General features: G+C 50.9%; 1 long non-coding RNA gene across 1 annotated transcript, besides 3 other annotated features; it reads left to right on the plus strand.

Annotated features, from left to right (window-relative positions):
* Positions 1–12,417, plus strand: LOC105376850 (uncharacterized). The gene is made up of 2 exons (XR_947057.3): positions 1–154; positions 8,713–12,417. It is a non-coding gene; the product is annotated as an uncharacterized LOC105376850 (long non-coding RNA).
* Positions 1,842–1,941: an enhancer, noted in NCBI's record as "active region_350". NCBI's record gives its function as "activates an Ori minimal core promoter by ATAC-STARR-seq in GM12878 lymphoblastoid cells {active_cell/tissue: GM12878}" and the evidence as "EXISTENCE:reporter gene assay evidence [ECO:0000049][PMID:35858748]".
* Positions 3,414–3,463: an enhancer, noted in NCBI's record as "active region_351". NCBI's record gives its function as "activates an Ori minimal core promoter by ATAC-STARR-seq in GM12878 lymphoblastoid cells {active_cell/tissue: GM12878}" and the evidence as "EXISTENCE:reporter gene assay evidence [ECO:0000049][PMID:35858748]".
* Positions 9,090–9,589: an enhancer, noted in NCBI's record as "H3K4me1 hESC enhancer chr1:22498925-22499424 (GRCh37/hg19 assembly coordinates)". NCBI's record gives its function as "activates a minimal SCP1, AML or CMV promoter by ChIP-STARR-seq in naive H9 embryonic stem cells {active_cell/tissue: H9 hESC(naive)}" and the evidence as "EXISTENCE:reporter gene assay evidence [ECO:0000049][PMID:30033119]".
* Positions 12,418–13,217: the final 800 nt, after the last annotated feature.

Genomic DNA, 13,217 nt, shown 5'->3' on the forward strand with positions numbered 1-13,217 from the left:
AGAGAGGTGGAGCCACTGCCTGAGGTCAGGAAGCTGCAGGTAGCAGGGGAGCGGGTTGGCCCAGGCCTCTCTGGCTGCCAAGGCAGGAGCGGTCCCCGTGTGCCACCTGGGTGTTGCTGGACCTTGGACAGTGTGGCCAGAGGATCCGGAAGGGGTGAGTTCTGCTCCTGGCTCCCCTTGCTCCCAGACTGACCAGAGGTGTGTGGCATCTGGGGCTGTGGGGAGCTGGGGTGGGCCAGGAGCAGTGGGGGCAGGGGCTGGGGAGGGGTGGGAAACCCAGCCTGGCAGTGCCAATCCTAGCAGGAAGCACCTTTGCTTGTTCAGTCAGCCTGTGGGCAGAGGGCAGCTGTGTGGGGTGGCCGCTGCCACCAGCCAGAGATGGTTTCTAAGGGCAGAGGGTAAACAGTCACCTTGGCTACTTGGGCGTGCCATGGGTGGTGGTAGGTCAGCTCTGGAATATTCCGGGAAGTGAAGGAAGGAAATGGGAGGCCTCGGGTTGTGAGAGCAAGGTGGAGGCCATGAGCGGGAGGGCCCAAGAGGGCGTCTTCTGTCCTAGAATGCTGGCTACACAGAAGCCAGGCCATGTGGGAGGGCTGGGATTGTCTCCTCCCCAGGGAGCAGGGTCCTGGCAACAGGACCCCAGGGAGGCTTCTGCTCTGGTTGAGCCCGCTGCTTCCCGTGTGATGGGAGAGAAAGACAGCGTCTGGTTTCTTATTAATCATGAGTCCTTTCTGATCCCATACCACGGGCTGTCTACTTTCCATTTCATTTATTCAGCCCACAAATAGTGATCAATCCAGGCTCTGAACTAGGCCTGGGGTACAGCAGTGAAGACAAACACAGGCTCTGTCTTCGAGGCACTTGCAGTCTGGAATTGCGAGGTGAAACCACCTTCAGCAAAGCAAAGCAAAACACAGTGCAGCGGGGAGAGGATCATGTAATTGGGAGACTTTCAGACGTGCTGGCTTCAGGGCAAAACAACATTTTTGGCCTTAGCTGCTCTCTCTGCCTCCTGCTTCTGCTTTCTCTGTCTGGGGCTTCATTCTCATCTGGGCATTCTCCATGGTGCAGGGAAGGTGGCTGCCCTCACCAGTCTCCCTGCAGCGCCTCTGCCCTCTATCAACGTCCGTACGTCCGGGCTTAATCCAGACCCACTTTTGACACCATTGGATGTGGGTGAAATCGTTATCCTGAGAAAGAGGCAAAAAGCAATGTGTCTATGAGTGGGAAGATGGACATTCAGGGACCAATTTAACCAATACTTAATGTAATTATCATTGTGACTGGTGCTACAAAGAAGTACGAGGTGAAATCAATAAATGTGGGTCAGGCTGGGCGTGGTGGCTCATGCCTGTAATCCTAGCACTTTGGAAGGCTGAGGTAGGCAGATCACTTGAGGTCAGGAGTTCAAAACCAGCCTGGCCAACATGGTGAAACTCCATCTCTACTAAAAATACAAAAAAAAAAAAAAAAAAAATTAGCCAGGCATGGTGGTGGGCTCCTGTAATCCCACCTACTCAGAAGGCTGATGCAGGAGAATCGCTTGAACTCGGGAGGCAGAGGTTGCAGTGAGCTGAGATTGCACCACTGCACTCCGGCCAGGGCTACCCAGTGAGACTCTGTCTCAAAAACAAAAACAAACAAAATACATAAAAAAAATAAATATGGGTCTGAGAAATCAAGAAAGGCTTCGTGGAGGAAGTGGCCTTTGAATGGAGATTTGAATCATAAGCAGTCTGTTTCACGCTGCTGATAAAGACATACCTGAGACCGGGTAATTTATAAAGAAAAAGAGGTTTAATGTATTCACAGTTCCACACGAGTGGAGGGTAGTGAGGCTGAGGAGGCCTCACAATCACGGTGGAAAGCAAAAGGCATGTCTTGGGTGGTGGCAGACAAGAGAGAGAGAGCCAAGCGAAAGGGGAAACCCCTTATAAAACCTTCAGATCTCATGAGACTTATTCACTACCACGAGAGCGGTATGGGGGAAACTGCCCCCATGATTCAATTGTCTCCCACCGGGTGCCTCCCACAACACATGGGAATTATGGGAGCTGCCATTCAAGATGAGATTTGGGTGGGGACACAGCCAAACCATATCAGTGAGTTAACTGGCCTAGGATGGGGAAGATTGTTTTAAGCAGAGGGAACAGAACTACCATGAAGTTGGGCACAAGTGAGGAACAACTAGGGTCAGACCATTTGGGCTTCTGTGGGGAGGTGACAGTAACAATTTTGGAGTTTCCTCGAGAGCAATAGGAAGCCACAGGAGAGTTTTAACTGGGGGTGGCGTCATGGAGTGTAAGTTCTGTGGAGATCTCCCTGGCTGTATTATGAAGAATGGATGGAGGGGATGAGCAGGTGCTGAGAGACCAGCTGGTTGGCCATGGTACTAGCCCAGGCAGGAGAGGGCAAGAAGGAGGGAAATGACACCAGAGACAGAAAGAGGTGGATGAATTTGAGATACATTTTGGAGGTAAAATTAATAGGACTTGGTGCTTGATTGGATGGGGGAAGGGGTAGGGAGAGAAAAACACTTAAAGGACAGCTTCTAGATTTCTGGCTTGCTCTGTAGGACCCCAGTCCTATGGAGTGGGGATTATTGCCCCGCATTTTTTTTTTTTTTTTGAGATGGAGTTTTGCTCTTGTCACCCAGGCTGGAGTGCACTGGCACAGTCTTGGCTCACTGCAACCTCCGCCTCCCTGGTTCAAGCAATTCTCCTGCCTCAGCCTTCCGAGTAGGTGGGATTACAGGTACCTGCCACCACACCCAGCTAATTTTTGTAGTTTTAGTAGAGACAGGGTTTCACCATGTTGGTCAGGCTGGTCTTGAACTCCTGACCTTAGGTGATCCACCTGCCTCAGCCTCCCAAAGTGTTGGAATTACAGGTGTGAGCCACCATGCCCGGCCTGTTGCCCCTCATTTAACAGCACTGGAAGCTGAGGCTCAGAGACAGGGGATGGCTTCCCAAGGTCACACAGCAGGTGAGTGGTTGAGTCTGTAACTCATGCATGTGAAATGCTTAATACAGTACAAACCCAGGCCTGTCTGTCTTTAAAACACACATTCTTCTTCTCCATGGTTCTCTTTCCCTGCCTTTATCTTCTCCATTAAGGCTCTAAGAAATGAGTGGCGGGTTTAGAGAGGCTTGGGGAACCCAGCTCCCTGCTGAGGATACTCCCAAGGCAAATGAGTTTTCCTGAGGGTTCTAGAAAGTCCACAGCCAGGAGCCCAGGTCAGAGGAAAGCCTAGGGGAGGATGACTCAGGAAGGACACCAGCCTCCTCTACCTCTGACAGCCAGGATATGCAAAGCTGGGTAAATCCCCAGTATATGCACCTGGGGAATTTTAGTGTCTCAGGACAAGCAGGGACTGTGGTCAGGCCTGGAGGTAGAATCCTAGGCAGGATCTTCACTATATTATTTGGGTCCTGAGCCCAGTGGTGCACCTTCTGTTTTTGTACCTCTGTGGCATCCTTGGTTCTTAAGCCTGGTGCTCTGAGCCTGGTGACTTCTGAGCTCTGGCTCCCTCCACCATTCAGTGTCCTTGCTTGTAAAGTGATGTTTGCAATTCCCACCTTGCAGGTTGATTGCAAGGCTGAGATGAAGCCTTGGTACTGAGTAGGGGCCTGCAAGCTTCAGTCCAGGATTAGAATTCTCTCATGCTGGCCTTGGGGTTTGAGCACGACCAAGACAGTCAAGCATGTTTCCCTGCCGGAGATTCTGGGATAGGAATTCTCAGAGGTGGGAATATTGCTAAGGCAGCTCCCCAGAGCACCTGCAGGAGGTGGTTGGCACCAGCGCCAGCCTGGGCACCTTCAATTTCTACTCTTGTTTTCCATGGCTCAGCAAAACTTGTTCTCCAGGAAGCCTTCCCTGCCCACCACTATCTACAGTGCCCCTCCCTTCCTCCAGGCCTTCAATCCCCAGTGGACCTGTACCTGCCATGGCTGTCTTCCCACTGATCCAGCCTTCCTGAATGACCCTTCGACTCCTGGAAAGTGAGACTGGGTTACCCGACCATCTGAATGACCTGGAGTCACTTAATCTTATTGTCTGTCTGTTAACTCAGGAATCAATTTCCCAGAGCTTGTTGTAAGGGTTCAGTGAGATAATGCTTGGGAAGTGCCCAAAGACATCAATGTACAACACAACAATAAATAGTACTTCCCGTGGGGTTGTCATTGTGGATTTGGGACTGTTTCCTTTCCAGATCAAGAACATCACAGAGGCTGGGCGTGGGGGCTCATGTCTATAACCCCAGCACTTTGGGAGGCCGAGGCAGGAGGATCACTTGAGGCCAGGAGTTCAAGACCACCCCAGGCAACATAGCAAGACTCCTTCTTTACAAAAAATTAGCCAGGCATGGTGGTGCGTGCCTGTTGTAGTCCCAGCTACTTGGAAGGCTGAGGCAGAAGGATCAGGAGGATCCCTTGAGCCCAGGAGTTGGGGGCTGCAGTGAGCCATGATTGTGCCGCTGCACTCTAGCCTGGGTGACAGAGCAAGACCCTGTCGCTAAAAAAAAGAACCTCACCAAAGGTAGGGATTATACCCCAATGAGTCTGGCAGGATGCCTGACACGTACATAGTAGGTGCTCAGTTAAGGCCTCTTGAGTAAATGTGCTCCTCTTCCTGGTGTCCCCAGCAGAGCCTTGCACATAATCGAGAGGCAAGGTGCAGGTAGAGGTAAGGAAATGGATTTTGGCGTCTGATAGTTCTGGCTTCAAGTCCTGCCTCTGACTCACCCCAGCTATGATGCTTCATGTCACTTCATTTAACCTGCTTCTTTATCTGCAAAATAGGATTAGCAGGCCACGTCCCAGGGTTCTGTGACAGTTCATTAAATCATATAACTCATGCATGTGAAATGCTTAATACAGTACATGAAGGCAGCTGCAATGATGATGGTTAATTCACCAATTCCCATGTCCCTTGCTGCCCAGGGCAGCGGACCTGTGTGGGCGGGTTGTTGCCCAGTATCTACCCCTTCCCAGATAACCTTGATCTTGGTTTGGAGATCCATGTAGTTCCAGGGACTGTCTCCACTTCTGATGCCAGGGAGGGGCAAAACTAAGTCATTAAGTGCATTTCAGTGATTGGTTTAAGGTTGGGCATATGACCCAGACCTGTCACATGTTTGTCTTGGGAACTTCTGGCAAGTGTCTTGTGCCTATAAAAGAAGCCAGTCTTAAAAATGGCAGACCAAGTGAGAGAAAAATAACTGGGCTCTTGCTGGCACTGGTTAGCTGCTGGATCAAGCCTTTCCTGAAGGACCTTTCAATAATGTGGGCCCATAAATCACCTTTATTGTTTAGGGCTGTTTGAATTGGGTTTTCTGTTCCTTGTAACCAAAATCACCCTTGTGGATACAGCCTATACGTCCCTCCACCTTGTGTGGCTGTCACTTCCTCTCTGTGGGTGGGGCGACATCGGCTCAGGCCACATTTCCTCCATGAGCACATGGACTCTGTGAGAACCAGCTGACTCTGCTGCCTGTAGGAAACCAGACCACCCAGGAGCCGAAAGATTATAGAAACATACAGAAAACCAGAGCAGGGAAAAATCCAAGTGAATGCTTCCAGAATAACCAAAAAGGGGGGGGAAAAGAAAAGGTGGTGGCAACTCTAATAGTGAAATAATTGACCGTCATACTCAAAGTGAGTAGTCTCCTGATTGAGGAGGGTGGATCCCAATCAGAGCCACCTGAAGGGTGTGTCACCACTGTAGGGAGTATTCCTTGCTCCTGGCTTCCACACCCACTCTCCCGCAGGCCACTATTCTGCTTTTCTTTGCTGGAATTATCTCAGGGGTCTCACTTTCCCTTAGCTAAAGGCAGGCTAAACAGAAGCTTCCTCACTGGCACTCTATCTTGAGCTGAAGGGACTGATCCGTCCCTTCCTAGGCAGGATCCTCACTATACTATTCAGGTCGCGAGCCCAATGCTGTGCCTTCTGTCCTTGCACCTCTGGAGCATCCTTGGTTCCCAAGGACCAAGGACCCACAGGACCCCTGTGGGTCCTGTGAACCCCCAGTAGCCTTCCAACATATTTCCTTTAGCTGAAGTCAGCAAAGGTCATTTCTGTTGTTGCAACCAAAAAGTCCTCAGTGATACACCTGCTGAGGGGCTGTGACGTGGTGGGAGAGGGGTCTGTTGTTCATTGAGAAGCCTTGTCAATTTCCCACGAGCTTTCTTGGGAAGGCCAAGAGGAGTGGAAACGGTCCTCCTGTTCATATTCATAGTGCTTCCGGCATTGTCTGCAGGCTGAATACATAACACACATGTAGGTATTGATGCTGAAGTGATGACTAAAATACCAATCAGTTCTGAAGAATTCCTGAATTCACATTAAAAAATTATCATTAGGTGATTTCTCATATAAGCAATACAAAATGTACAACCTGGGAAAATGTTCGCATGGAGAAGGCGTGCTTCTCTTGAAAATGTTAGAACCACAGCTGTGGGGGTGTGATGAGCAGAGGGCGTGTCTTTCAGGACCATAGTGACACTCCATCCTTCATGCCTGCCAAGACCCACTTTCCCTCCTTCCAAGACAACACTCAAAGAGAGTTCTGGGGGATTAGCTCCTTTCACTGACTCCAGAGGTGGCATTTGACTCAGATCTGGCCAATCTGAGCGCTGGATTTCCCTGGCCACAGTGATTGGCTCCGGGATGGGGGGAATGACACAATCAGAGCCAATGAGAAGCCATGGGAATGACTGGGTGGCCTGACCTTGACTTCACTTTGCAAAGCTTTAGGGGCTACCTTTTGTAGGGACTGGAGATTTGAATGAGAGGGAAGTTTCTTCTGTGGTTTCTTTTAGATTCTGCCTGAGAGGGCCCACGGAGGACTGGTGGCCATGTGGAAGTTGAACTGATGCTCACTGAACTCCTGATTATGTCTGGGTCCTAAACTAGGCCTTGGGCCTCCACAGGTGACTCCATTCTTGAAAAGCTCCCAATCTTGTGGGGAGCAGACCTCTAAGGAATGAATCCTGTGTCTCAGCGTGAAGCATCACGAGATGCACGAGATGCTCCTGGGACAAGGAGAAAGATTCCAACTCTGCCTGGCAGGTTGAGAAGGGCTTCCTGGAGGAGGTGGTCCTCAAGTGGAGCCATGACAGATGAATATGAGTTTGCTAGGGCCGGGCACGGTGGCTCACGCCGGTAATCCCAGCACTTTGGGAGGCCAAGGTGGGCCGATCACTTGAGGTCAGGCGTTCGAGACCAGCCTAGCCAACGTGATGAAACCCCATCTCTATTTTAAAAAATACAAAAATTAGTGGGGAGTGATGGCATGTGCCTGTAGTCCCAGCTACTCAGGAGGCTGAGGCAGGAGAATTGCTTGAACCTGGGAGATGGAGGTTGCAGTGAGCCAGGATTGAGCCACTGCACTCCAACCTGGGCGACAGAGCAAAACTCCGTCTCTTAAAAAAAAAAAATGAAGTTTGTTAGGGAAGAAGTCAGGAGAGGCATTGGAGGTGAAGGCACTGAGAAGCAAGAGTTTCTGATGTGTTCAGAAAGAGGAGGTTAGATTAGAGATGAGGACTTGGGGGTTCTCTGTCTTGAAGCAACATATGGATGGGGCTTGGCCAAAGAGGAGGCGGAGACCACGGTCACAGGCTGCTGCTTTTGGCGACCAGGCAGGCACTGGAATGAGCTGAGTCTTTCAAGTATAAGGAAGACCCCATGACCTTCTGGGTCTGGCTTCTATTTCCCATTTTTACAAGAGTAGGGATCCAATAAGTGCTAATTAAAAGAAGCCACAGTGTAATGATAAAGGGCAAATGTCACTGTGGGCAGCTGAAAAGTCTACCTAAAGCAGTGGCCCTAAACCCTGGCTACCCACCGGAATCATCAGGGATGCTTTGACAATGTAGTCTGCCTGGACCCCGTGCCCAGAGTTTCTGACTTCATAGGTCCAGAGTGGGGCTCAGCAAAATATTCTAATATCCGCTCAGGTGATTCTTTTTCTTTTCTTTCTTTTTTAGACAGATTCTTGCTCTGTTGCCCAGGCTGGAGCGCTGTGGTGTGATCAGAGCACACTGCAGCCTCAACTTCCTGGACTCAAACGATCCTCTTGCCTCAGCCTCCCAAAGTGCTGGGATTACGGGTGTGAGGCACTGTCCCCGGTTTGCCCAGTGATTCTAATTGGATTCTAAGATACAGCTGGGACTGAGAACGACTGATCCACAAGGAATGCCAGTCGGTGCCTTGCAGGAACTTGTCTTTCCAAAGTTTTTGATTTTTTTCAAGAAAAGCCAGAAACTGAGATTTCTCTGTGGAATCTTTATTTTTTTATTATTTTTATTTTTATTTTTTTGAGATGGAGTCTCGCTCTGTTGCCCAGGCTGGAGTGCAGTGGCGCGATCTCGGCTCACTGCAAGCTCCGCCTCCCAGGTTCACGCCATTCTCCTGCCTCAGCCTCCCGAGTAGCTGGGACTACAGGTGCCCGCCACCACGCCCACTTAATTTTTTTGTATTTTTTTTTTTTTAGTAGAGACGGGGTTTCACTGTGTTAGCCAGGATGGTCTCGATCCCCTGACCTCGTGATCCTCCCGCCTTGGCCTCCCAAAGTGGGAATCTTATTTTTAAACGTTGCCTCGACTTTTAAAAGAGGCAAAACTGGGGAGTGTTTATGATGAGCTGTTTCTCAGCTCCTTATCCACACCATGAATCTACAAGGTAGGTGACTATTCTCTCTACTCTGCAGGTGAGGAAACCGGGGCGTGGAGAGGCTGTGTTACTTGCTCAAGGTCACATTACTAGCAAGTTCCAGATCAAGATGCATCCCCAGGCAGTCTGGCTCCAGACTCCGTGCATTTACCTGCAGAACCCCTCTCCAGCCAGCATCTGACCTGTGGCCCAGGAGTGTGCACCCTCTGGCAGGTGAGGGCTTGGAGCAGAGACCTGGCCATTACAGGAAGCAGCCTGGAGCTATGGACAGAACGGAGAGAGTGGGGGCCAGCGGCGCTGCTGCCTTCAGACACCGGTTGATGAACCGTCCCATGTGGTCCTGCCCAGGGAGTGGAGCCCAGCGCACAAGGCCTGGCAGGTTCAGACTTGGGTTTTCACCAAATGCCCTACTGGCCCTGGGGCGCTGGCTTGGCCGATCAAGATATTGCAGATAAACAGGCCTCACCTGGTGGTGGGGCTGTTGCATGGGGAGGCGTCAGGCTTTGTCTGTTGCGGTGACTCAGGGCAGGTTATCACCCGGCGGCAGCCTTCACACCTCATGCCCGTGGGCTCCAGGATAGTCCCAGGAAGCATCTGCATCTGAGGTTGGCCCAGACCCACCCAGTGAGCCCGGCTTCTTGTAGATGCCTTATAAAGGAGTGCTATCTTCCTGCACGCTTTGGAGATAGGGCTGGGGGCACTTCGGAGACAGGGCTGGTTCAGAGATAGGGCTGGGATAGAGATGTGGGCAATGGGCAAGAGAAAGCGTTCAACCAGCCCAGTGGGGTAGACCAAGGAAAGTGGCCGTTTTCTGTGGGCTTACTATGTGGATCTCACTGGACTAAACACCTTTGCATCTGATTTCTTAATTTCACAGTTCTGAGGGGTCGTTGTTATTATCTCCATTTCACAGAAGAGGAAGTTGAGGCTCCGAGAGGTGAAGTGACTTGGCCAAGGTTTCATGGCTTTGAAATGCATCTGGGGTTTAAGTCCAGGTTGTTCCTTGGCCATTGACCGACTGACCTCTAGATATGTAAGGCTGCTCTCTCAATCCCCACTCAGATCCTACTGACTCCACAACCCAAGGCTTTACTGCCCTGCCCTCACGGGTCACGGCTGTGTATACCTTGGTGGCATAGGTCAGCAGGCACCTTGGACAGACCTGCCCAAGGGAGGATGATCTACAGGGACAGTGGCATTTGAGCAGCTCAGTTGTAGAGAGATCTGCAGCTGGCAATCGTCAACACGCTGATCCAATCATATAACGAATCTCTGGCCACCAGGCCAAGCATCATTTTAGTTGAGATAACTAAATAAGAACAAAATTGTATGTTTTTATCTAGCTTGGAAGTAGTGATTATTTTGTTTTCCAGCTCATTTTTAGCCTCATAAAAGTAGTTTAAAAATTACCATTGTTGTGCCAGGTGCAGTGGCTCATGCCTGTAATCCCAGCACTTTGGGAGGCTGAGGTGGGCGAATCACGAGGTCAGGAGATCGAGACCAGCCTGGCAGACATGGTGAAACCCCGTCTCAACTAAAAATACAAAAAAAAATTAGCCAGGTCTAGTGGTGCATGCCTGTAGTCCCAGCCACTTTGGAGGCTGAGGCAGGAGAATCGCTTGAACCTGGGAGGCAGAGGTTGCAGTGAGCGGAGATCGCGCCATTGCACTCCAGCCTGGGGGACAGAGCAAGACTCCATCTCAGAAAAAAATTACCATTGTTGTGTTTTTATTTCTGCTAAGAGCTCCCCTTCCTGCCCCTCTGCAGACAGGCTGGCCAGGTGGCCGCTGGGCCTGTGTCTTTTGTTGCTTGTCTGTTTGGCCCTGGTAGAGGGTGGCATAGGCTGGGCCCAGATGAAGGCCTTACCAAATGGAGGGTCTGAACTTGGATGCCGGGAAGTTTTCTGGAAGGGCTTCCTGGGCTCAGCCAGGCACATTTCCCAGGAGGGCCCCATTCTGTGGGGTGGGCTGGGTAGCTAGCAGGTGGCTAGATCCTGGGCTGCACTGGGGAGGCAGAGGCCAGGCCAAGCCTCAGTGGCTGCCCAGTCTTCAGTGAGAACCCAGCTTCTTAGCCTAGTGTTCCAGGCTCTTGTTTATCAGGTCCTTGCCCCTACCTCCAGTTTCCTCCCCTGCCCTGTCTTCCTTGCCCCCTCCAGCCCTGGACCACCCGGCGATCCCGCTGTCTCACACCTCCATGCCTTCTCACAGTTTGTTTGCTCTGCTAGGATTCCCTTTCCTTATTTGCAGGGATAACTTATGTGAAAGAGCTCAGCACTAAGTTAAACTCATCATTGGTGCTTTAAAAGCTCACCTTCCTCCTCCCTCCCTCTCCCTTCTTCCATCCCTCTCTCCTGCCTTCCTTCTGTGTGTGGAAACATCACCCTCCCTGGTCTAGGGGGAACTCTTAGTATGATGGAAGAAGCACAGAAGCAAGCCTGAGAAGCCTCAAGTCTAGACAGATGCCAGAAACGTCTGAGGCCCTCTGTTGAGGCAGTTGGTTGGGTTTGACCATGCAGGATCCAGGATCCAGGAACCCTGAGATCCTTCCCTGCCTACTCTTAGTCCACCTGTTATGGGCGAGGCTCCTCCCTCTTAGAGGTGGATCATGTGACCTGCCTAAGCCAACCTGCTCATTGTTTGGTTGCGTCAGAGCCCATGGGACATGATGAGATGCTACTGGGGCTGCTAGGACAGACCCAAGCGCTCCTTGTCCTGGACTTGAGTCTGAACATGGTTTTCCAGCCTCCTCTCCACACTGTGAGCTCTCCACTGCCTCCCAGTAAATGCCCCTTGAGCACCAGGAAGTCAAATCGATTCTGTTTGCAATCAAGCAGCTCTAAGGGAGACACCCCTCAAATCGCAAATGTCCACTCCCAACTCTTGAGACAGAGGCACCCATGTCTCTCCAGCTGTAGCCGCCCAGAACTGAGAGCCAGGGCACCAACAGGGAGGAAACAGATAAACAAAATGTGGTTTCCACATACAAAGAGATACTCTTCAGCCTTGAGAAGGAAGGAAATTCTGATACACGCTGCATCATGGATGAACCTAGAAGATAGTATGCTGGGTGAAATAAGCCAGATGCAAAAAGACAAATACTGTATGATTTCCTCTTACATGAGGTACCTAGAGTAGTCAAATTCATAGAGACGAGGCAGAATGGTATTACCAGGGTAGTGGTGATAGTGCCTGGAGGAAGGGTAGTGCCCTATTTTGGATCAGCTGATTCAGTCCCTGAGTGGCACTCATTGTCCAGCTCCAGGAGTTGCCTGGGCCTAGCAGCTGGGACTTTGCCCCGGGGGCTTCCTAGCTCCACATCTAATCCTTTCTGTTGAGACTTGGGAGCGGGGATGGAGGGACTACATCTGCTATGCTGGCACCATGAGCAGAACCACCTTCCAAACTGAAGGGTCCTCAGGTGCCCAGAAGTGAATTCGTAAGTGGGGAAAAAAGGAGGCCCCAAAGCTGGCAAGAGGCAGTTGGCAGGCATGGGGGCTGGCCTTTGTGGCCGCGCCTGGCCTTCCCAGCAGGAAGGGATGAGGGGGGTTCCTGGGGAGAGGAGTGGGGAGAGCGGCTTGGACTGGATGAATCTAGGCTTGAATATATCTTTGCCACTCATCACCTGTGAGAGCTTGGCAGGTCACCTTACTTCTCTGAGCCTTGGTTTCCTCATCTGTAAAATGGGAATAATCCTACATGCTTTCTGGAATGACTGTGAAGATTAAACACTATAAATCCTGTGAGATTTTGAGTCTGCTGCCTGTCAAAGAGTCCACAAATGTTTGCTTTTACTGTTATGAAGAATAAGAACCCTGCCTCGGACCAAACCGGGTTAATTCCTTAAAGAGTTGGCCTTGGTTGTAATTCCAACCAAGCTGAGGGACGCTGGACAACTGACTAGGGCTTCCTCTTTGGAGGTCAGTTTGCTCATTGTAAAAGGGGGATAACAGCAGTTCCTACATTAAGGGTCGATGTGAGGATTAAATGACATGATGCATAGAAAATGCTTAGCACTGTGCCCGGCACATAGTAGGTGCTCAGTAAATATCAGTTCCTCCTCACCACCTCCCCTCCTTGTTCTGGATGTGGAAGAGCAGGCATTGTGGGGAATACAGATGCCCCAGATCTGGAGTCAGAGAACTAGGTTCTGCCCCAGGCAGGGCACTAAATTGCTGAGCTTTCTTTGGGTGGGATCCTGACCCCTGGGTCTCAGTCAACCTCTGTTAAGTGATGACATTGGAATTGATGGTCCCACCTCTGTAACATTCCACATTGTAAGAAAAAAACACTTAAAAAAAACCCTAGTGTTACTTAAATAAAGGACTGAAGGCAGCTGCTCCCTGCTTGAGGTGGGGCTGGAACAGGAGGAGGCTGCACTTTTGCTTCGGGAAATCCCCTTCAGAGGCCCTTTTTGTTTCGTAGAGGGCAGGTGTCTCCCCCTGCACCTCCCGAGCAAAGTGAAGGACGTGGCCCTGTGAGGTGAGGAGCAGGTGCTGGCAGCTGGAGAGTGGGACTTTGGCAGGCCCTAGGGACATGGAGCAGA

This window comes from Homo sapiens, chromosome 1 (genome assembly GCF_000001405.40).
Source record: "Homo sapiens chromosome 1, GRCh38.p14 Primary Assembly".
NCBI classification, from domain to species: Eukaryota; Metazoa; Chordata; class Mammalia; order Primates; family Hominidae; genus Homo; species Homo sapiens.